Raw genomic sequence first — 24,530 nt, 5'->3', positions numbered from 1 at the left:
CATGAGTAAAGAACATCATAGCTTGCTAAAATAGTACTCTTAATGTGGAAAAAACATCCACACAATTCAAGAATCTGCCTGAGATCATAGACCCTGGAACTAGACTGTTTGAGTTATTTCTATACTTGCTTGCTTTCTCATCTGTAAACCGAATAATTACAGCATTTTTCTCAAAAGGTTGTTGTGGGGGCTGAGTTAACATAAATAAAATCTGCAGAATAGTGCCAGCTACGTTTTAAGTTCAAAACAGTTTGCTCTTGTTTCTGATAAGAATTAGTAAATCATTGTAATTTTATCCTGTTTTATTAGATATAAAATAAAATTTATGTCTTCATGTTTTTAGTTTCATCTTATAAAAAAAGCTTAAATTACATTCTTTCTTCACTATTTACTATGAAATTCCATCTTTAAGTCCATTCTCTTCAGTGTCTTCATCCAATGATAATTATTTTCAAATAACAGAAATCTTCACTTTGTTATAAAAATATATTCTATACTTTCCCATCTGATTCTAGTCAAAGTAATAGTACGAATGTTTGTTATATTAGTTGTTGACCATTCCTCCTAAATGTTTAAATGTGTTTATGTGTTACATAGATTTATGCATTTACCTGCAGAATGTCCCTTTAAGTTTCCCCTTCTACATATGTATATAGGTACAGCTTACAGACAAAAAAATTCCCAAGAAACTTCTCAAGAAGTAGGATACTTGACAAAGTGTCTTTATTTGAAAGAATACTGATATACAGAAAAACTTTCTCTCAACTTCTTGTAAATACACACACACAAACACGCAGATATACACACACACAAACACACAGATATACAAACACACATAAATGTGCATGCTCAGGAGCACATGTCTGGTGTCCTTTCTGAAAGTTTGCATCTCTCTTTTTTGTTACCTTTTTGTGTATTTTAAATTAATTTAACTCCCTTAATTTTCATGCTTGTGTTCAGTGAGAAATTTTATTCTAGCTGCATGACATATAGTCCTTTGAAGTAGAGACTGTAGGTTTTAACTCAGTAGACATTTCATTCATCATACAAATTCATATCATGTTATAGTGTTAGGTATTTTTGGAAGAGACAAAACCAAAACTCACTTTTCTAGTGTGCTAAGAAAGTGGGCAAGGATCAAATTAGACAAGGGTACATGTGGCATTCATGATTCTTACTGCCCTTGGCTGTGTCTAAGAGTTGGCCTTTCCAAGTGAAAGTGAATAAGGAGTCAACAAATTCTCTGCTCACACTAGAATAAAAATGCTTACTAAGCAATATTTTTTTGCTTCCTCCAGCTTTCAATTTTGATAGAATTGCCTGGCATACCATAAGCACTGATAGCTGTTGAATATATAGAAGACCTTGTAAACTATGATTTGTTCTCAAAGAAATGAATATCAAATCAAATATTAATTTTTTGACCTCAGATAGTTAGCTTATTTTTACTATCTTAGAATAATTACTTACAAAACTCGTTTTTGTTCATAATATTTCCTAGAAAAATAAAGAAACCCAGAAGCAGCCTTAAAAACTTTTACAACTCACTTCATAGTTTTGAAAGGAATCCTATAAAGAATGACACATATCCCTTTAGGAATCTATATCAAACAGTTTTATACAGTTAATTCATTTTCTTAGTGCTTAATAAGAGCAACTGTTAAACAATTAATTACTCATGTTTAATTTACCACCAATTTATGCAAATACTGCTTATAATTAGAAATGTATTAGCACATACTTCAAATTCAAACTTGGAAAGTTGAGCCATGTTCTCTTGGGGACTGCACTAATTCTCAGATGCTACTGAGTACACTTTTCTTCTCTAGTGCTGCATGCACACCTGTTATTACTAGGAGGTAGCATAAGCAAAGATAATGCGACTGCTCAATTCAAGAGAGGAGATAGAGATTTGTTCACCCTCTGTCTCTCTCACTGCTGATCACATGGATCTGTTTCTTTGTATTTCAGCATTATGTGGAGGAGATGTTAGAGGGCCTAGTGGAACAATCTTATCACCTGGTTACCCGGAATTTTATCCAAATTCTCTGAATTGTACATGGACTGTTGATGTAACCCATGGAAAAGGTAATTTGCCTCATGAAATAATAATTGGACTATCTTCTGAATTTTCATTGAGTCTATTCTTATTTCACTTTCCTTTACATGTTATTTTGCATGAGCAAAAACAGATCAGTACTACAATATGCTAAAACACATTTCAATTTAAATAATTGCCACAAAAATTATATTTACTCTTCTATAGTATTATATTGTGCTCATGTTTTTACCAGGCTGTTGCTATGAGAGATTTGTTTACTTTTGATATAATAAACTAATGTCATTTGAAATTTTTGTAACAGGAAAACCTCAAACAAGAGGGCTTTAGTTTCTGGCATAGTGTTAAGAAATGGATTTCAGGAGTTCAAAGGGGAATATGAGATGCTCTGATATGCTAAGCCAATTTTTAAAGCAACTAGTATGTGTTTATATATACTTGTTTATAATTGTTTGTAACAATTATATTCTCTATATAAATTTATAGCCATTCTATAAATATCTGTGTCTCAGATTCTTTAGTACAGAGCTATAGATATGTCTCACATAGAGTGTAAAATTGCACTCTGCATAAGGTAGATGTTAATAAATGTCCTTTTACAAATAAACAAATAAGTAAAAGGCTCTGTAGTATTAAACATGGTTCATTCATGAGATTCAACCACTCATAAAACTTTTACAACCTACTTCACTGTTTTGAAAGGAATCTGTAAAGAATGACATGTATCCCTATAGGAATCTATAACAAACAATTTTGCATGATTAATAATTCGTTTTCTTACTGCTTAATAAGAGGGACTGCTAAACAATTACTCATGTTTAATTTACCATCCATTTTTGCAAATATTGCTTATAATTAGAAGTGTATAAGTATGTATTTCAAATTTATCAAGATACAGTGTAATTTATCAAGGTAACAACTTATGAATGGTAAAATGACCATTCTAATATATGAAAACAAAAAATATATTAAAGTTATTTACTTGAAAATCTCCATGGGTTGATCTTCTAAAAGAGCTAGTTTATTCATTTTAAAATCTGATTTTGAAAAGTACTTTTTTTTAGCTCTGTTGATGTATTATATTATTGAATTTTACTATTAAAATATATTTATTGATTTTAATATAGAAAATCTAAAAAAAGAAAAAGTCAAAACAAAATACTTTTAGCAATGAGAAGATGTTATTACCATTAAAACTAAAAGCTTGTGTTTAATACATTTAAATTTGCGTTTTCAGAAATAAAGTTTGCCTTTGATTAAATTACATATATATTTTATCAGGAGGTGAGAATTATGTCAGGACTAGTTTGGTTAAATTTCTACAATGAATTAAATATTACTGAGAAAAAGCGTTGTTAAAATGAGTATTCTGGTACTGAATAGCAGGAATGAGGTAGAAGACTTTGTAAACTGTGATTTTTGTCAATCTTTATTAATAGAAGACTCTTTGCTGGAAGTTAACCAAAGTGTCCCATTATCCCAGTGTGCAATAGATTAATAGAGTTTAAAATAAGCTCCCTGATATTATAGAAGGGAGTGGAGGGCTACATACTGCTTGCTATGTAAATAGAGGTTTAATTAACACTTAAAGTTTTGCATCTTCACAGGTTGCAAATGTTAATTAAATCTGTATTTACATGGCAAGAGATGCGGACGTAGATGCCTTTCTTTTAAGAGCCAACTAAGTTTGTCTGAAGTACAACTCTTCCAAAGTGTAGCAAATTTACATGAAGGAAAATTTCAAAGTTGGGAGAAATATTCAAGGTAATATAGTCTAACCTCTTACTCAGAAAACTAGCTTCTCCGTATGGTGTTTCAGAAACATGATGAACTGGCCTGTTATGGGTATTTCTGTTGATAAGGACTGTACTCCTTGGGACAAATTCCTCATTTTTTCCATATTTGATTGTTTAAAAATTATTCTGCAGCCGTTATCCCTGTTCTGCTCTCTGGAGCTATACCAAAAAAGGCAGCCTAATCCTTGCTCCAACCAAAAGCTCCTCAAACACATCAACTCACCATTCTGAGACTACCATGTTTTTCATGTCCTCTATCCCTAGATCATGATTCCAAGTCTTTTCTTCCCAGACTAAACACTCCTAGTTTCTTTAATTCATCATAAGATAATATTTTCATGTTCATCACCACTCTAATCAACTTCCTCTGGATGCATTCCAGCTTATCTCTTTAAAATGTGGTTTTCTAAAACTGAACACATCATGGCACAGTGTAACACTAAAATTATTTTCATTGAAGAAGACAGTATTTGTGTTAATTAACTTTTTTGCTGCCATGTTATAATACTAATTGATAAGAAGTTTGTAGTAATCTAAATCATCTTTTTAGATTACTGGGACTTAAAATACAGATAAATTCAATTCTTAAAATTCTATAATTATGCAATTGCTTTTTTCTATCTTCAGTGCAAGCTTTTATATGTATCCCTGTTATGCTTTATCATATTGATTTTGATTCAGAGTTCCTATGAGATCATTTTGAAGTGATTTACATTTCATTTACATTTACATTGTGTAGTCAGATGTTCTTATATAACTATGATCATTAGTATTTTAAGGGTTTATAAGAATCTTAACAAGGATAAATCTAAATATCTAAATATTTAAGAAATAATAAAATGTATATGTACCATCTGTAATCTCTTCACCATTAAACATTAAGTCAAGGTGTTTGAACACATACAATTGTTCAGTAGTTTCAAACTCAGTTAACGACAGTGTCATTCAGCCTACATTGCTCCTTATTTACAAGGACACCATGAGAGATTTTCCTTAAACACGTTGTAGAAGTCAGGATGCTAATTATAAATAGTTACGGGAAACCTAGAGAAAAAAATGTACATCAGGAAAAACCCTTAGACTTTTAGAAGTTGGACTGTCCTTAAATAAAGCATAGTCCACACCTATTACTTTACATATTAGAAAAAAAAAGTCAAATGGCACCCTTTAGGTAATAGCTGGTGGCATGACTATAACTAAAACCTAGATATTAACGCTATTTTGACTTTAAGTACAAGTCATACAGATATATATATATATAAACATAAATTACCTTTATTGGGCATCTTGAATTAGCATTCTTACTAGAAGTAATTACGATATTGAAACCACTGACTTTTTCTCCCTGCCTTATTAGAATTGGTTGTCTTTTCCTGTCTAATCCCCTTCTTTCCAAAATGTCTATACTAGGTCCTCACCATCACAAACTTCTCACTTTTGAAAGTCATTGCCTTTTTGATTTAGGAGGTCATTGCTTTGGGGTTTTTTGTTTGTTTGTTTGTTTTTTATGTTTTTCCTGAGATGGGTTCTCACCCTGTCACCCAGGCTGATCCTGGCTCACTGCATCCTCAGTCTTCCTGGGCTCAGGTGACCCTCCCACCTCAGCCTCCTGAGTAGGTGGGACTACAGGTGTATGCCACCACACTCAGCTAAGTTTTGTATTTTTTTGTAGAGTTGGGATTCCACCATGTTTCCCAAGCTGATCTCAAACTTCTGGATTCAAGCAATCCACCCGTCTAGGCCTCCCAAAGTGCTGGGATTACAGGTGTGAGCCACCAGACCTGGATTGTCATTACATTTGAAGGTCATTTTTATACCCCTCTACGGACCCCTTTGACAAATTAGTTACCTCTATTTCTATGCTCCTATATTGAGTTGTATTAACCAGTTTGGCAGAATGATTAAAATTTTGGTTCATGTACCTTTTTCCTCAAATAGGCCATGAGTTACTTACAGTCTTCTAAATATTTATATTCTATAATGACTAGAATATAGTAGTTTCTCAGGATCATTTTCTTATTTGGATTAATTGACCTTTGGCACAACTTTGAAGGTCTTAAGTTGTTTTGCAGTAGTGAAAGAAAGCAAATATTACCATTTAATCCATGACTTGATGAACAGCAGCTTCTTTTTACAAAGCGGCTGGCCAGGGCTAAATAACAGGAAAAACATTAGCTCTCATTTTGGGAAATTGATCAATAGCAATAACGCTTTCTGTGCCAGTCACTGTGCGAAGTCATTTACCTGTTACCTTATTTAAATTGCAAAACAACTCTATTAGAACCCCATTTTAAATATGGAGAAAGTAGGGCTCAGAAAGGTAAATAATACTTAACAGTGGCTTTGTTGGCACCGATAATTAATTAATGAAATTCTAAAATAATTCATTCTATGTATTTCAGAACAAGCACATTTTTCTTAAAAAATAAAAATAATATAGTATACATGATGATTTATTTCTCTTTTATTCAATCTACTCTCCTATTGTCTAACTATTTTTTTCTTAGCTTTATAGCAGAAATAAGACTGACTTATCTGAACTTTCTACCCTTACATTATTTTGCAGGAGCTAATCTGGACAGCAAAGCATCTTCTCTTTACTATGTCAAAATCCCATTTTCCTTTCATCTGTCTAGTATCAATACTGATTTTATACTATAGAAGATTTGAAAAACTGACTTAATTTTTAGACCCCCTCTAAAAGGGCTCTTGTATTGCTGCCAATTATAGAGAGGAGAAAAAAAAAACACCAAAACTTGCATTTTGAAAAATAATTTGAAAATAGTACCTTATATATTTCAAATATTTCTCAAATATGAAATCTCTGATTCATTATGCAGTGATAACCTTGTTGTGTTAATGTTTGTGTTTTCAATCATTTGTTTTGGTCTCATTTTCTGTCCCCTTTTTTTTAAAACAATGGAGACTCTTAAGAATTTCCAACATTTGGAACTAAAATGTAAATGAATAAAAAATGTTACTTGTCATACTCTGATATTTTGGAATTTTCTTAGCAAATACTTTGGTAATTTTTTAGGTGAGGTACAAAAAAATAAAGCACCTCAAGGGAAGGATCCCTGTGGTAGCCATTTTTTATTTCAGATGGCTCCTTACACACAGTGTGTTGTGTGTATTTGAGTGTGTGTGTTTGTGTGAAGTCATTAGTCTTTTACATGTGTTCTTGACAGTGTAATTAAATACTAACGTGATACCACAAGGAGTCCACTATATACTCACTGGAATGGAACAAATTAAAAAGCCCCAGATTTTCAAGTATTGGAGAAGATACGGAGCAACCATGTTGTCTATGGAGATGTAAATCAGCATGGCCACTTTGTAAAACAGTATTTGTTAAAGCAGAACACATATTATTACTCCCATCATTCAGTAATTCCATTCCTAGATACATACCCAACAGAAAAAAGCACATATGTTCACAAAAGATAAATGTTCATGGCTGTACCATTTACATTTGTGGTAAAACGCAAACGACTTAAGTGACCATCAACAGTTGAACAGGTAAATAGATGTGGTATATTCACAAGGTGGAATGCCATACTATACATCACCAAAAATGAACCACCCCCAACTATGCACAATGATATTGAGAAATTTCACATACCTAATGCTGAGTAAAAGAAGTCAGATCCAAAAGAGTATATATGATTCCAATCTATAAACTACAAAATATATATACAAAGCAGCAACATTAGTTTGTGCTATTAGAAGTTAAGTGAGTGGTTACTTCTGGAAAACTGAAATGACAGAAAAGTTTTATAAAGAAGGCGCTGGGTGTTGGTATTATTGTGGCTATTGATTTGGATACTATTTACAAAGGTGTCCGATTTGTGAAAACTATTGACCTGAACACTTATATATACATTTTTTGCATATTATATGCACAGGTTGAAATGTGTGACAAATAAATAAATGGAGAATAATTACATTCATCTAACAGATAGCATTCCCTATGCCTGTTTTATATTTCTCTTCTAAAATAAACAAGCATATTTGGAAGTTAAGTGCTATAATATTAAGCATTGCTTTTATGTTGGTCGAAGGGATTGGAGAAGAAAATGGAGGCATGTGCAGTATTTGCCAGGAAATTGCACCTCTATTATAAACAAAAGATATGTATTTCTCTTGAAATTTTCAGAAAACCAGGTAATTTTTTTTCAGGCACTGATTTTTAAATTGTATTTTCAAGCAGTTTCCAAGACATGACTCATTATATCTCTTATAATGAACCTGAAGGAAAAACACACACAAAAAGAATAATATAACATATATTTGGAATATTTTATAGCAATGCCTCTCATTTTCAGAAAATTTAATTATAAGTAAAGTCCTGGCTAATAGTTAGTTTGACAGTAACTCTCTGTGTTTTACTGATCTACCTGTAAATTCAGTGTTTCTATTTTTCTTAATAGGTGTGCAGTTCAACTTCCACACTTTTCATTTGGAAGACCATCATGACTACTTACTGATCACAGAGAATGGCAGTTTTACCCAACCACTGGCACGCCTGACTGGTTCAGATCTTCCTCCAACAATCAATGCTGGTCTCTATGGAAATTTCAGGGCTCAATTGCGTTTCATTTCAGATTTTTCAATATCATATGAAGGATTTAACATAACATTCTCTGGTGAGAAAATAAAAAACAAAAGGGCTCATTCAGTAACTTTTAAAAAAGCAATTTTTCAAGATATGAGCATAACTGATGATAAAACAGTGAAAAATAGCTGGAGAGAAGAAAAATTTTAAAAAGAAGAAAGCAAAGTAGTATGTGTCAAGTTTTAAGGAAAGCTTGGAATACACTGAAGATTATCTCTAGTAATAAATAAGGGAAAAAGCAAAAATTAATTTGCTATAAATCTACCGGAAGTACAATAATTACATTTCTTTAATTTACAATCCTGAAAAATTCTAACAAAGGTCAAAACTAGCTAAAATGCCTAGTAAACACAAAATAAAAATTAAAATATATATTTTAAAGTTTCAGTTAAACTCAAAAATGAAATGAGAATTAATCCAGTGATTTCCTTGTTTTATGTGTCTAGGAAAACACATAGAAGGCATAGTCAACAGGCCAGAATTAATGATCTTAATTAATTAATAATAAATTATATATTTTAATTATATATATAATTAATAAATAGTAATTTATTATTCTGGAATTAGATAATCTATAATCTATAATCAAATTAACATAGTTACTCCTTTCTTCTAGTATAACCTCACTTATAGACAATAGTATTACTTAGATTACAGGGGGAAAAAATTGTATGAGACCAAAGAAAATAAAATGTATTCCCACCACTTAGAGTTGTACTTTCCATTTGAATGAACACAACTAGCTATTTCTTAATACAGACACAAATTAATAAGTAAATCTTATGCCAACTTGCTAACATTAAAATGATACAAGCACTAACCTTGTTCTTAAACAACTATTTTAGTATTTGGGTGGAAATGTTTGGATGCTAAAATCATTAAAGTATTTTATCATGAATAGTAAATGAACATAACCTAGAATGTTAAAAAAAGTCCAAGTAATTTTTTTAAAGCATAAAATATTAGCTAATCAACATGAAGCAATGCCTCTTGTTCTTTGTTGTAATTACACAGTAACTGCTCTGGGAATATTTTTAGATAAGCTACTTCTTCTTAGGACTGTATATAAATTATAATGTTTAATCAACTCTACTTTTCATACCCTGAAGACTGTTTACTTGTTCATTTTCATAATGTTCATTTATTGCCTGGGGAAAACTTCCTGTAAAAATCCATAATACAATAGTTTTCAATGTGTGGTCACTTCAGTCTCACATAAACCCTTGCATCTCAAATCATGTGTTTTTCAGAATATGCATTAATTGAACTTGTATACAAGAAGCAGAAGGGCCTTTATCATTTAAATGTAAAATATTAAGCAAAAGCATTTCAAAAGTGCAAATGATTTCATTTCAAATGTTATTTTGTGTTTGAAAATATGCAGTTCTTATGCCGTAAGTCGAAAATATATGAAATAAAAATGTTTCTAATGCAGAAAAAACAATAAGATAAATAGCTATTTTTTAATTTATTATTCAGAAGGTGATATTTTCTCATCTATATTGAATACCACAAATACAAATATTTATCAAGTTATTAGCTATTTCACAGAAAAAGAAACGTATGTGTGCCATTTGTACGTTCTGATAGCTATTCATATAGTCCCTTCTAAATATATGACTAGGTTCTAAAAACAATAGGAATATACCTTTAAAAGTAACCACTATCATTTTCTTTGTCCTTTCCTCCCCCGCGGGGAAATTTTTCTCTCTAATTTACAGAATATAACCTTGAACCTTGTGAAGATCCTGGCATTCCTCAATATGGTAGTCGAATCGGGTTCAACTTTGGGATTGGTGACACTCTGACCTTCTCATGCTCTTCGGGTTATCGACTGGAAGGAACATCAGAGATCATCTGTCTTGGTGGTGGCCGACGAGTGTGGAGTGCACCTCTGCCAAGGTGTGTGGGTACGTGGTCAGCTGCTTTCATTTGCTTGTATGTGTAGTCACTGTCCATGGAGTTGCATGGTTACACCCTTCGTTCTTTATAATCTGTTGAATTTCTGCATTTATTTCACATTAATTATTTCAACTTTTTTTCTATTTGGCAATCTGGTGTAACTGAATTAACTTCTCTACTGCTCCATTCAAGAAACCATGCTTATAAATTTGTTTTCAGATAGGGATAAGAAACAAATTAGATAGATAGATAGATAGATAGATAGATAGATAGATAGATAGATAGAAATATGATAGACACATAGATATATGGAGAAAGATAGATGATATAGATAGACAGATAGACAGATAGAAATAGAATCATATTTTGAGAGCTCACAGAAAATAGAATTCTTGTATTCTATTGATAGTATATTCTGACCAAGGTTTTGACAATATTTTATAACTTAAAATTAACATGCATAAAAGATGATTACAAGAGAAAGTGCCAAATGAAGAATAGGTAACTAATTTAAGGGCTCTTAATGAACTTATTGGCTCAATATTTGATAGATAAATTAAGAGAGCTATTCATTCATGTTGTGAAATAAAAAATAACTATAATTAAAGTGTTGGAAGCGTGAAGTCACCATCTCAATCTTTGGAAGTAAATATTTTGACTGATAAAAAGAAAAAAATGTTCGGTAGAAAAAAGGCTTTTCATTAAGACTTAAATCATTCCCTCTTTAAATTAGAAAATATTAAGGCCAAAAACTTCTTGCTGTTTAGTGATTATCAGTACATCTTATGATAGAATAAGATTCAAATGGCCATTTTATAATTATTTTATAAAGCTATTGAAAATTATCACAAGCACTTAATTTGATTAATTATAAATCTAATTGTGGGTCACAAATCTATGTAACTTATAATATGCTACAAAATCAGGAAAATTGGTAGAGATTTGAAATGTGGTTTAAGCCCCTGCTCTTTACTATGGATACAAAATGCCCTGCAGGTTGAAATGAGATTGAAGAAGTTATATCCTTTTTGCCTTATTCAATATATTGTCCAATATATAGAATGTGGGAATTCCTGTGGAACCACAAATCAAGCCAAAAAATATGATCATCCAAGTTAGTGTGGGTCTGAAGTCTTTTATTGTAATGAGATTGTTTTCAAGATACCTAGCAGATGAAATTTCTCTTTAAAAATCACAGATTTTTATAGAAATGGCACAAGCAACCATAGAGGCTTGAAGTTGGGAGGTGATAAGTAATCATACTCTCAGGGCATCTTTTCCAGGAGCTATGCAGGGTGCATTTTTTTTTTTAAGGACATTTTGTTGTTACTACTGCTACTGCTTACTGCCACATTTGAAATTCCTGTACTTTACTTCATTATGCCAATTTTCATTTTTGTGACTGTTTTCGAAGGTACTTAATGAAACCTTTGGAATAGTCCAAGTGAGGGCTACAGAGTGCCTGACCATTTGATATTTGGCCAATTCACTTTTCTCAACTTCATTTTTCTCATCAGCAAAATGTTTGCAACTGTAGCACCTAACTCATTGTTATGAGTTAGTTATGAGGATTAAAAGAAATTAGTCATATAAATCAGACACCTGGCACAATCCCTTGAATATAGGAAGCATTCCGAATTTAGATTTTATTTTAACTAATTGTTTTGAGTATAATCTGCTGTCTCTCCAGCCTGTCAACTTAGTTTATAAAATCAATTACAGTGGGAAATAATTCCATTTTATAAAACGCTAACATTATAAGGACCTGCTAGGTTCTTTTATGTAAAGTCATCTCATTTAATCCTTACTAAAATCCTGATATTATTATCTCTTCCATTTTTCATTAGAAGAAGCCTGAGGCTTAGAGATGCTAAATAACTTGCCCAAGATCATCAAGTTTGTAAGAGGTAGCACTATGATTTTTTTGTAGTGATCTGTTTCATTCCAAAGCCCAATTTTTTCCTCACTAGTGTCTAGGGAAACGTGATTCTAGAAGGAATCTATCATAGAGAACTAACATTTTCTCTCAGAGTAACCGAATACATGCCAGGCCGTTACATAGGTTGAAAAAAAAAGTGTTTACATGTACATTTAAAAAATTTAGTTTATATTTATGATATATTTTAATAAATGGATCTATGAAAACCTGACATTGCAAAAATCTACCATTGAGTTAATTTTGTTTTATTAAGGTGTTTCTTTGAGACTGGTTTATTCGTACCCAAATCTTTAATGGGAAGGATGAAAGAAAATTACCCTGTGGACAAATTTAGAAAGCAAAGTTATTGCCATGGGAATTCCCCCCTACCCATTTTCAAATTAGCTGTGCTTGCTTTTAAGCTTATTAAAATTTACAATTAATTCAATTGACCTTAATAAATTCCACGGTAGGCATACATTTAAGTTACAGGATGGGGAGAAATATTCCTTTAAAAAGAAATGTTTTTTAAAATGTTACTCCTCCAATTTTTTTGAACTTTTTTCTTTACTGCTTTGCTTATGCTTCAAAACAAATTTGTTCCTTCTTGAATTTCTGATTCTAAACACACGTATGTGTATATTTCTTATTTTGTTTTTTTTTCCATATTTTAGTCTTTATTCACATAAAATGCATGTTATTTGTAGCCATTCATCTGAGCAGATGTCCACTTTTAGGAATGTTAGTTTATTTGGACAGCTTTTATTTCTTCTTAACCTCTTTGTACTTTTTATTTCATATACCCTAACACCAATTCTCTATTTCATACTTGTTTAAAAAATCATTATTTAGTCTTCAGCATTGCCAACTGCATAGAAAGCCTAGGTTAACAATAGCCAAATTTTAAGTAGGTTGTATTTCAAAAGTTTGCTGCTGTTTCAGTTATTTGGAATCTAAACATTCTTTTCCTGGCACAAGGGTACAAATGATGGATACACTCCCAGAACAAGCCCCAGATGAGGTTTTAAATTTTATACAAAGTATGAAACTAATATTAACGTTTACTAAAGCGATTTGTGTGTATATAGGTTATATAAGGCATCTGATTCTGGATAGTAAGGGAACTGATAAAGCTAGTTTTGGAAACTTACTTTACATTTTATTTATATAGATTTTGATTCAATATTTAGTGTACAGGTTGATTGGTATCTTCATTTCTTTTGGTAGAATTTGGCAAAATTTATCTTATTCTGGATGTTGAATGAGGAATAAATAAAATTTTTCTTTAAACAATTTCCTACACAAGCTCTGCATTTAAGTTTAAAGTTTAACAAAATATTAAAATGTAATAATACCATAATATGGCCATTTACATCTATGAAAAATTCTGTCGTGTAATATCTCATTCCAAAGACTCCCAAATATTGTGAAAGTAAGTTTAATACAACTATCTTATCAGTAAAGATATGATGTCTATAAAAATACTCAAGGTTGAACACAAACCCAGGAGCAGATTTATGATTATCACAATGTTCCGAGTCTAAGTCCTGTGTATGGTCCACAGTAGTAGCACACCATTGTCTCTGACTGGAGACTTTGATAAAGTTGGGAGGAAATCTGGCCTGCATTATAGTTGATACATGGCTTCAGAGAACTTCGTATGCTTGTCCTCTATTTAACTAGAGGAAAACTTCTTCAACCATAATCCATTTATCTGATGTTGCTTAAATGCAGAAAAATTTGTAGAAGCAGGAGAATAATCTTGACAGAAATTAAGAGTATAACAGGAAAAGTTTTATTACACTATTAGTAGATAAGCACTCAATACACAAAATCTCGTTTACTAGTTAGTAATCAAGATGAAAGTTTTACTATCTGAAATAGATATTTATGTATCTGTAATTATACTTCACATTTTGGGAAAAACTTTAAAAACAGAAAAAATGATATTTTAGTTAAGATGTTTTGTATTTGAATGATTTTCCTGGAGAGCCATGTTTCTCAGGAATGAATATCTGATCACTTGTTTAAGTGGCAACCAAATACCCAACAGCAAAAAAATAAAGTAAAATAAAACAAATATAAATAAATAAAAAAATTAAAAACTACCGGTAAGTTGATAAGTTGATTAAAATAAGAAACACTTTCCTTTTTTGTTTAAGATATAAGTACATGATTTCTTTTTCTAAAGTTTACATTACAAAAACACTGTCATTTACGTTGCTATCTTTTTAAATCAGGAAAAACTTGCATGTCTTCACTCAGCATCCAAATATACCAGGAACCAAGCCAGGCCATGTTGCAAATAAACAACGAGCTAATGAAAGAACATGTTGTTTTGGAAAGTAGATTAGCAAGTTAAATATTAGTAATGATTTGTCTTTAGGCAGGAGTCCACATATTTTAAGAAGCCCACACATTTTGAAGTGATTTCAAAGACATTAATTCATTCATCCTCATAATCCCCCATTTAATACATCTTCTTCTGTTTCTAATTTCGTGTGTCATTGATTTTTTTATTTGACCTTGGACAAGTAACAACATCTTGCCTTAATCATGAGTCAAATGATAAAAATGATAACTCTATATTACACATCTACATATTATTCTCACTTTTCTGACCTTTCAGATGATATATGATGATAGTTATTTATTTCTTAGTTTAAAAATGAAGAGAGCAAACTGAATGTGCAGCATATATGCGAACTGTCTGTACTATCATTGTAACTTCTCTGTTAACCTAAAACTATTCCAAAATGAAAATGTATTAAAAATTCAAAATATGAAAGAATAAAGTGCATTTGAAGAGGCAATTTCTCTTGAAACAAATTCTATTTACTTTATCTTAACCTCCAAGCTCTCTATACTAAAATTATATCTATCAGATGCCCACATATGTATATCAAATATGACTGATCTATCCAGTTAGTCAGCATTGCAGATATATGGCCTGGTAGAAAGAAAATTAAAAATCAAGAGACTTAGATTGATCGTAGAGTTTACCATTAATTAGCTGGTTAATTTAGGCAAATGCCTTAATTTTCTATATTTTTCTTTTCTGGAAAGGATGATGCCAGTATGAGTTCTATTTAACCCAATTTTTTTTTAAGATGAAAGAAAAGTGCTCTAGTGAGTAATATAAAGAAATATATATTTACTTCTCTCTTGTATGATTAGGACTGAATGCATTGATTTCTTGGCTTAACAATATAAAAGCTTCTAGAATATTAACTTATATTTGTTCAATGCTATCTACATTTTTTAAAGAGTTTATTGCTCACAACCTTATGAAGTAAGCAGAGGAGGTGTTATTCCTTTTTAGCAGTTTAGAAAATGCATGCTCAGAAATGTTACAATTAATAAATAAAAGAAATGTACGAGAAACAAAGATTTGTAATTCTTAGATGAGTGTTGTGGCATTTCAAGCAACATTCATTTATTACCTTATTTATTGATGCACAATTTTCAAGTTAGAAGACTATCGTTTTTTTATACAATAGACCAGGGGTGGGCAAACTTTTTCTGTAAAGTGCTCCACAGTAAATATTTAGGGCTTTGAGGCCACATGGTTTGAGTTACAATTACTGAACTCTGCTATTGTATTGTGAAAGCAACAATAGAAAATACATAAATGAATTGATGTGGCTGTGTTCCAACAAAACTTTATTTACAAAAACAATAATCTGGATATGGCTGTGGAGCCATAGTTTGCTGGCCCTTGCAACAGACTTATCAAGCTTAATCAACTTAAATATCCCTTTTGTATTTGGGCATTTCTTAGTCATTGATCCTTTAGGGAAAGAAGAAAGGATCCTTTACCTATTCTCTAATTTTTCATCCTGGGCTCCATTTATTAAACTCATAATGTATTTATTATTAAGAGGAAATATTTCTCATGTTTTTCAAAAGAGACTATTAGGAGTGTGTGTGTGTGTGTGTGTGTGTGTGTGTGTGTGTGTGTGTGAATACTGATGTAGTTTGTTGGTAACATAATTCTCAACCATCTCAAAATCTATCCGTATACTCAAATCTCTTCTGAGTACACTGGACCTCTCCATATGGATGTCCTCCCACAAGCACATTGACTTTACACTGCTAAGACAGAACTCATTATCTCCTCAGCCAAATCAGCCTTTCTTTCTGCACTCTTTATTTCAGTTATGGAATCATTCTTATTCAATCATCCAAGCTAGAAATTGTATTATCTTTCACTCCTTCCTCCCTCTCTTTTTATCCATATCAGAGCAGTCCTTATGACTTACCACCTAAAAATATTGCTCAAATTTACCACTATTTTCATTCTCACTTCCTTTGTCCTAGCCCAGCTCTCATTGGTCCTCAAAAAGATTAACATAGTAGCATAAGAATAATAATACACGGCAGGCATTGTGTTGAACCCTGTGTAAATATTTCACTTCACATACCCTTTATACAAACCATTTAAGAAGATATTATCATTCCATTTTATAATGTGACTAGGTGATTAACTACAGAACTTGATAAAAAGCTTAAAACCTACTCTTTCTGACTGTCATGTTCATATTTTAGCAGTTATATATATAATCTCATTGTGTTACCTCTTTTTTCCTAGCTGGACTTCCTGTTTCCAGCTTTCTCTCATCTAATTTATCTTCAATATTATAACTAATTATATTAGATTTTTATTGATGAGTAATAGATTACCACAAATTTAGAGACTTTATACAATACAGTTACTTTCTCATGGTTTCTGTGGGTTGAGAGTCTGGGCATGGTTTAGACCCTCTTCTCAGGGTCCACAGACTACAATTAATGTGTTAACCAGGGCTGAGTTCTCACCTGAGGTTCAGGGTCCTCTTCCAAGGTCACATGGTTATATTGGAAGCAATCAGTTTCTTGTGTTGTGGAACTGAAAGCTTCAATTCTTTGCTCAATTCCATCCACAGTTCCTTACCATGTGGTCTACAATACAGCTGCTTACTTCATCAAGCCAGCAAGGGGTGTCTCTCTGGTGAATCTGCGAGGAAGATGAAGTTTTATAGAAGGTAACATAATACAGGGAGTGATGAGGAGAAAGCCATAGATCCTGCCTATACTCAAGGGAAGGAGATTGGCTTAAGGCATAATTGCTAAAAAAACAGGTATCATGGGGTTCAACTTAAAGTCTGTCCACCATACCAGTTATCCTTTGAAAGACCAGATCATCTGTCTATTCCCTGCGTAAAACACTAAGTTTGACATTGCCCACTGGATAAAGTCACAATTTCTTAAGTCCTTTCATGAGTTGGCTTTAGCGTCTTCTACTGACATTTCTTTACATGGCTATATGCATCCTGGAATATAGCCACAAGATGTTACATGCCACTTGAAAACATGCCAACCATTTTCTATACTTTATGATTTTAAGGCTATATTGAGGTCTAGTGCATGCAAATGACCAAATTCTCACTTGTGTTTACATAAGCAAACAAATGATTTTTTTAATCTGTAAGAATATGGGTTTAAAAGTACAGTAAGAACAGCCTGAGCAAAATAATGAGACCCCTTCTCTATAAAAAATTATCTAGGCATTGTGGTGTATGACGGTTGTCTCAGCCACTGGGGAGGCTGAGGCAAGAGGATTGCCTGAGCCCAGGAGTTCAAGGGGGCAGTGAGCTGTGATGGTGCCACCACACTCCAGCCTGGGCAACAGAGCAAGATGCTGTCTCTAAAAAAATAAATAATAATAAAATCGCAGTGAGAAAACACAGAAATCATTGTTTAGTTGCTGAAGCAGCCTTTGCTTTTTAATCTGTTGAGCTCCATTCCCATTACCCTGTCATCGTTCAAGACAGTATTATCTATCATTATCTACCTTATTACTGTAATAGTTTAAACAGCACTCTAATCTTCATTCTTGTGCCTTTTTCCTTAAACCAAACTATGGAGTCAGAAAGAACCTCCTGTGATGCAAATTTGATTATGTTACTCTCTTACTTAAAATCTTTCATTGTTTTCCACTGCCCTTAAGATAAATTCTGAATATTATTCTCTTAACCCCAATCTCCACTCCATAATTTGGCCTAATCCCTTCATCCTTTAAAGTCACCTCATTTAATCATTCTGGTAAGCTCCCCTTGACCTCCCAAGAGTACGTTAGATGTCTTTCCTATGAGTTGCATGAGCTTTTCCATATCTCCCCTTTCTAGATTTCATCATGCTATATTGAATTGCCTTTTTATCTACAACAGTGTTTAGCATATAGAAAGCTTTAAGTAAATTTGTTGAGTTGATAAAGAAATGAATATATAATATCGACAAAACTCCTTTACTTCCACATTTTCAACTTACTAACTTTCATTTACATGAACAAAGCTGTGCTCCAGAGGAAAATAGAGTCAATTCTGTCTAACTCCAATAAAGGACTATAATTGCCATTTCAACCTCAGCTGTCACACTGTTGTTTAGTCTATAATGCATTTGCTGTGGGTTATTTACACACAATCTCTCAAGTCTAATAAGTAAACCAACCAACCAACCAACCAACCAACCAACCAACCAAGTAATTAAGATGCCTGAAAAGACTACTAAGAAGAAGCTTATGATTATGATTGATAGAAACAAAAAGATAAATTTATAAAAATTGAATATGGTGAGAAAATGATGAATTCTGTACCTGTATATGGAATAATTCTTTCCCTAATATGCAGTAAAATTCAGAGCTTAACAGGGAAAATAGCTGACTCAAAAACTTTTTCAATGAGTTAAAAAAGTAAGGTAAAAAAGGTGTGTGATAGAAATAGTATCCACAAGATTGCGAGGGACCAATACACATGTCCTATTTAATGAAATTAGATTGTGGACTGTGAACTTCAATTCTTATTCACTTGGGATTTGTAGACAAACAAATTTACAGACATCCTTTTAGAACGCAGCCAGTCAGCTCATTAGGAGATAAATATCTGAATTTATTTTATTATACTGTAGCTGGCACATGAATAAGGATGATTTTACTTGATACCTGTAAGTCCTTTGAAGGTGGAGGCTGGATCTTAGTTTTCTTTATACTTTCTGTGTGTCTGCCACAAACTTTGGCAAGTAACAGGTGCTCATTCTGAACAGAAGACAGTATAAAGTTAATTCACCATGTGATCATCAGGAACCAACTTAACAGAGTAGACCCTGACCTATCTATATGGTGATTCACCCATAGGGAGGGTTTCATTGATTCTCATGTTATTAAAATCTCAAATCTCTTTGGATAAAAATTTTTGAGTTTTATGAGGACTTAAAATAGAAGACTCCTAAAAATACCTCATTCTCCATATATGTCCTTATGCTCTGACTATAAATCTTGTTACAAGCCAAAATTTGACTGCTAATTGGTAAGTTCAAAGATAGGTTTGGGGATTGCAGAGAGGACACAGACTTTTTAAAAGAGAGTTTGAATTACAGAAGAGAGGCAAAGAGTGGAGTGTTGTGTGGAATCTCTGTTGCAGAGGGTCATGTCCTAGAAGCAATTGCAAGAGTGAGACTCTCACACGAGAAAGAATTACGAAAGTGCCAGAAAAACTTGCTCTTTGTCTAAACTCTGGGTGACCTCTTCCTAGTTTTGGAATTTGCCCAAGTTCAGAAATACCTAGAGCATACTTTTTCTTTGGCTATGTCTAAGAAATTTAACCTAGACATATTGGAAAATATGCTGGAAAAAAAGAAAAACTATAATAGACCTCAAAGTAGTGCTTTAAAGCAAAAATAAATGTTATAATATTAACCTAGAAAGTATGATATTCATCAACTTTGCCATCAGACAAACTAATTTTGGTTTTTAGCTTAATATATCTTTACTTAATTAGGTTACTTGTCCCTAGTATATATTAATGCCAGATAAGGAATATTTTACCTGAGGTAATAATAAAAGCTAATATTTGCTGTGTGTTTACTGTATGCTAGGTTTGGTCTTATGAGCTATGAATAAGGGCCCTGAGACACAGGGAGGTTAAGCAATTTTCACTAGGAAAATATATTAACGGTATTTTTATTCAAAGCAAGTTAGATTGGGAGCAATTTTTTGCTATAAGTCGTAAGAATTAAAACATTAAATAAGTCAGTGTAGTTCAATATTCTGTATGTATCCCCAAACTGGTTCTTGCTTACAACAGTGACATATGTGGTTCTCAGGAAATACTATCATTTGGCAGTGTAGATAACTGGAGAAGATAATTAAATGATAACGCTGCTTATAACTGAATTAGATCTTGATGTCATATCTCAGGAGAGGGTAGGATTTAATTGAAATTGGAATAGACTGACAGTACCTAAAATTATTTTGAAGCTGGGAACAAAGGTCATTATCATATTAGGTAAATAGATTTTAAAATTTGTTCTAATTCCATTTTTTAAAAATAAAATCCATGTGTCTTTTTGTTCTGTATATGTGTGTATATAGATTATTTCTACTTTTAGCCTTATAATATTAAAAATAATAGAAAATATATATGCCATTAATACAGAGGCTGATTTCTAATAATTGGTTTTATTGTTTGTCATCTGGTAATGCACTTAGCTAAGATAGGTTCAAATGTACCTAGGGCTTTGAAAACAGACAAAAGGACATTGGAACAAACTAGGACTATAAATTAGTAACAGTGCATTATACTGAGGGACCAACTGGCCTTGAGTTTGGTGGCATCAACAGGGGTGGGCTTCGGTTGAATACGAGAGAGTAGGACTGCCATTATTCTGCCTAGTAAATGCATTCAGTCCCTAACGAAAATATTATCGGTATGAGATAAAATGAATTTCATTTTTTCATTATCATTTCTGGTTTTTTTTGATATTTTGTCTTTACCTCAAACTTACCCTTCTCAAATCCAGCTCCTTCACTGCGGGATAAAGTAGCTGAAGTCATTCTTTGTTTATTATACCAAGACAGTTGCCATGGAAATAATAAAATGTTATAAAATAGGCATCATAAATTAAATCCAAAGTCAAGAAGGAACATATGGGTCAGGTAGAGACTGTGTGCTTATTTAAATAAACAATATCTTTGGTAATCATCAAAAATGTCAAGGTAAGTTGCAGAGAAAACATAGAGACAAATGAACTTAGAGCTTTAGGAAGTTGTTTGCAGAATGTAAATATTGCACTTCAAGCAGGTGTTTTTCAAAAGGAGTTAGGGGATTATTTACCTCCCCCAAACTACTTTTCTGGCTATAAACCATTTTTCTACATCTGTGTATTGTACCCAAGTACTCTCTTTGTAGCACTCTTTGAATCCCAGCTCAATTATTGGTATGCTCAATGTGTAAGTAACATTTCTCTTCATGTGTTTTAATCAGTCGACAAACAGTGTATTTCAAAGGTGATGGATAGCTTTTATTTCATGCATTTTACTATATCTTTTTGAATTTGAACTAGTTGATGTTTTGTTATATCTGCTACAGAATGTTGCAGGTATAAAATATTAACCTTTTCATATCATATAAAACTTGAATCTCAATTGAATCTGATCACTATTTTCTAAAAGAAATTCTGAGCCTTTTTTGTCCTCAAAAATGTTTGATTTTCATTTTTCCAGACATTGCTTTGTTTTTCTGATAATATAATATGATTTCTCACTTGTTCAATCATGATGTTTGAGATGACTTGATGTAATGTGCTTGTGTAAAATACTGAACTAAGGCTTGCCTTGTACCTATAAAAGGTAAAGTAGGTTATACCAGTTTTCAATTTAGAAAATTTTTAATTACACTCCACTGACTAGGGTCTAATCTGGGCATGCCACCTTATCCCAAATTTCCTATGACTTTGGAAAAAAATATTAACATGTCATTACAGATTTGTTTCTCAGGTAAAATTTCAAGGATATCATCACTGACTTTACTATGTTTTCTTTTCTTTTTTTTTCCTCTCGAATCCCCTCCCCTGCAACATACTCATTTGATTGCATTGTATTTATTGATCTTACAATGCCTTTCTCCTAAAAGCAAAAACAAACAAATAAATATACAAATAAATACCTAAAAAGAAACAAGCAGGAATAAAGATTACATGTAAATTGCTTAAATTTAATGGGCATCTCATTTGTGAGTCTGGCTTGTCAAAACCAAGTGCCCTAGATATGGAAATCATATCTCATATCTTTAGAGAATTTTCAGGCTTTTAGTAGTCTGCCAAAAGCTATAAGGGAGAAAGAAGTGAAATAACACTATTGAGTGTTCAGCATGTACATAGTGATACCTTGCTAGTACTTTTATTCATTTATATAAAAGTATCTCACCTGGTACTTTATGGTATTTCTCTCACTTACTTGCAATAATCTTAGTAGGTAGTCACTAATCTTTCTAGTTTCCATATTGGAAAAGCAGTGATCAGAGAGATGAAGTGATTCATGATAAGTGTCAAAGCTAGATGTAAAGAATAGATTTGTCTGTCTTCCAGATCTCATGGCTAAGGTTCTTTACTTCATACTTTGTTTATTTGAATTGTCCAGAATTGTAATAATGACTTGAAGTCAAGCAGCATGAACATTTTGAGCAGCATACACCTTCAGTGGACATTATATAGTTTTATTTTCTTCAGGAGAAAAAAAGAAGACTAAAATAGACTAAAAATAAAGTTCTAGAATTTGCCAAAGAAGTTTTTCTTGAATTTGTTTACTGAATTTCAGGATATCGATTTCTATAATATTTAAGTCATTGCCAAATTTGGAAAGCTTTTAAGAAACCTTTCTTTCTAGTTATAAGCATTCTACATAAAATGTAAATAAAAATAAAAGATTAAATTGTAGTGAATATCATAATATGTTGTTACAACATTAAAATTATTCTTTTCTTTGTGCATGGGTGATAATGTAGCATTAAAAATTTTCAAAAAACTTTTAATATCTATTACTTACACTTTTTAAAGGAGTATGTCCCCTCCTCTGCCATGAATAAGTGTTGTTCATATTAACAGATCAGGATTCTCTCATTAAGCTCTCTTAACATCTAGATTTGGGATACTCTAAACTCAGCCTTTTGAAATTTAGCCTTCATTCATTTATTCACTCATCTATTCATTAATTTACCAAACTGAGTTTAAGTAACAAACTGTCATGCTGTGCTAGGTGATGGTGATATAGAAAAGATGAACTAGACATTAGCAATTTCTTTAAGACAAATGATGGATTTGATATATTTATCTATCCCACTATTCAACAAAAATTAAATCAATATAATTCAACAAATATTTAATTAGCACTGAGTTGAGTAGCAAAGATAAAAATGAATAAAATAGGGAGGGGGGAGGGATAGCACTGGGAGATATACCTAATGCTAGATGACGAGTTAGTGGGTGCAGCACACCAGCATGGCACATGTATACATATGTAACTAACCTGCACAATGTGCACATGTACCCTAAAACTTAAAGTATAATAAAAAAAATGAATAAAATATTCTCATCAATGAAGTTCTACTATATTGTAAGGGAAAATAAATATCTAAGACTAAGTATGACACTATGATGTGAGAATTAGGAATAAAATGCATAATGTAGCAAAGAGGTATTTTTTTTGTGTGGAAGGATAGGGAACAGCTTCTCAAAAATGACATATTTGTGAAAATGTGCTTGATTCTGCCAAATAGAAAAGATGAGAAAGTCCCGCTAGGCAAAGTGAATAACATTAGTAAAACAGGTAAAACTGATGTGTCTACAAATCTGTTTTGGGCTTAAGTGGCTTTTTTGCAGCTCTTTTTCGAATCCCCAATTCAACTGTAGGTATAGTCAATGTGGAGCAAACACTTCTTTCTTTTTTGCTTTTTAATCAGTCCTTGAAGGACACAGTTTCTACAATGATGAATAGGTCTTATTTCATGCATTTTTCTATGTTGTTCTGAAGCCTCAGTATATGTTTTATTAGAATTGATATAGTAATGAACAGCAGCCCTGTAATAGTCCATATGGACTCAGATAGAAAAACTCCCCAGGTTCAAATCTTGTTCATAACTTAGAAACTGTGGCAAGTTGAAAAACATAGTTAACCCCTCTGACTCCCATTTGTAAAATGGAGATATAATGAAAATTTATTAAGTATGTTGATTTCTTATGATGATTAGGCACTATGCTAAGTGATTTGCATGTATCAACCCATTCAGTATTCTCAACAAGTCTGTGATGCAAAAAACTATCATCATCATCTCCAGTATACAAATGAGACCAATGAGATACACAGAAGTTGCTTAAATAGCTACGTGTGCCAGATAACGCAATACTCATTGCGTTACTTTTACATCGTTA

General features: G+C 32.2%; 1 protein-coding gene and 1 non-coding gene across 10 annotated transcripts in view; one reads left to right on the top strand and one right to left on the bottom strand.

The window, feature by feature from the left end:
- The window catches only part of CSMD3 (CUB and Sushi multiple domains 3), a 1,214,012-nt gene that overhangs the window by 789,743 nt on the left and 399,739 nt on the right, over positions 1-24,530 (top strand). For all 9 annotated transcript variants that reach the window (NM_001363185.1, XM_017013010.2, NM_052900.3 and 6 more), the window contains 3 exons: positions 1,972-2,088; positions 8,286-8,501; positions 10,192-10,380. In NM_001363185.1, the coding sequence (NP_001350114.1) occupies positions 1,972-2,088; positions 8,286-8,501; positions 10,192-10,380 (522 nt within the window). The remainder of the gene's footprint in view (positions 1-1,971; positions 2,089-8,285; positions 8,502-10,191; positions 10,381-24,530) is intronic.
- MIR2053 (microRNA 2053) lies at positions 3,614-3,704 on the bottom strand. The gene has a single exon (NR_031745.1). It is a non-coding gene; the product is annotated as a microRNA 2053 (primary transcript).

Source organism: Homo sapiens, chromosome 8, assembly GCF_000001405.40.
Source record: "Homo sapiens chromosome 8, GRCh38.p14 Primary Assembly".
In the NCBI taxonomy this organism is placed as follows: domain Eukaryota; kingdom Metazoa; phylum Chordata; class Mammalia; order Primates; family Hominidae; genus Homo; species Homo sapiens.
This window is presented reverse-complemented; position numbering and strand designations above follow the sequence as displayed.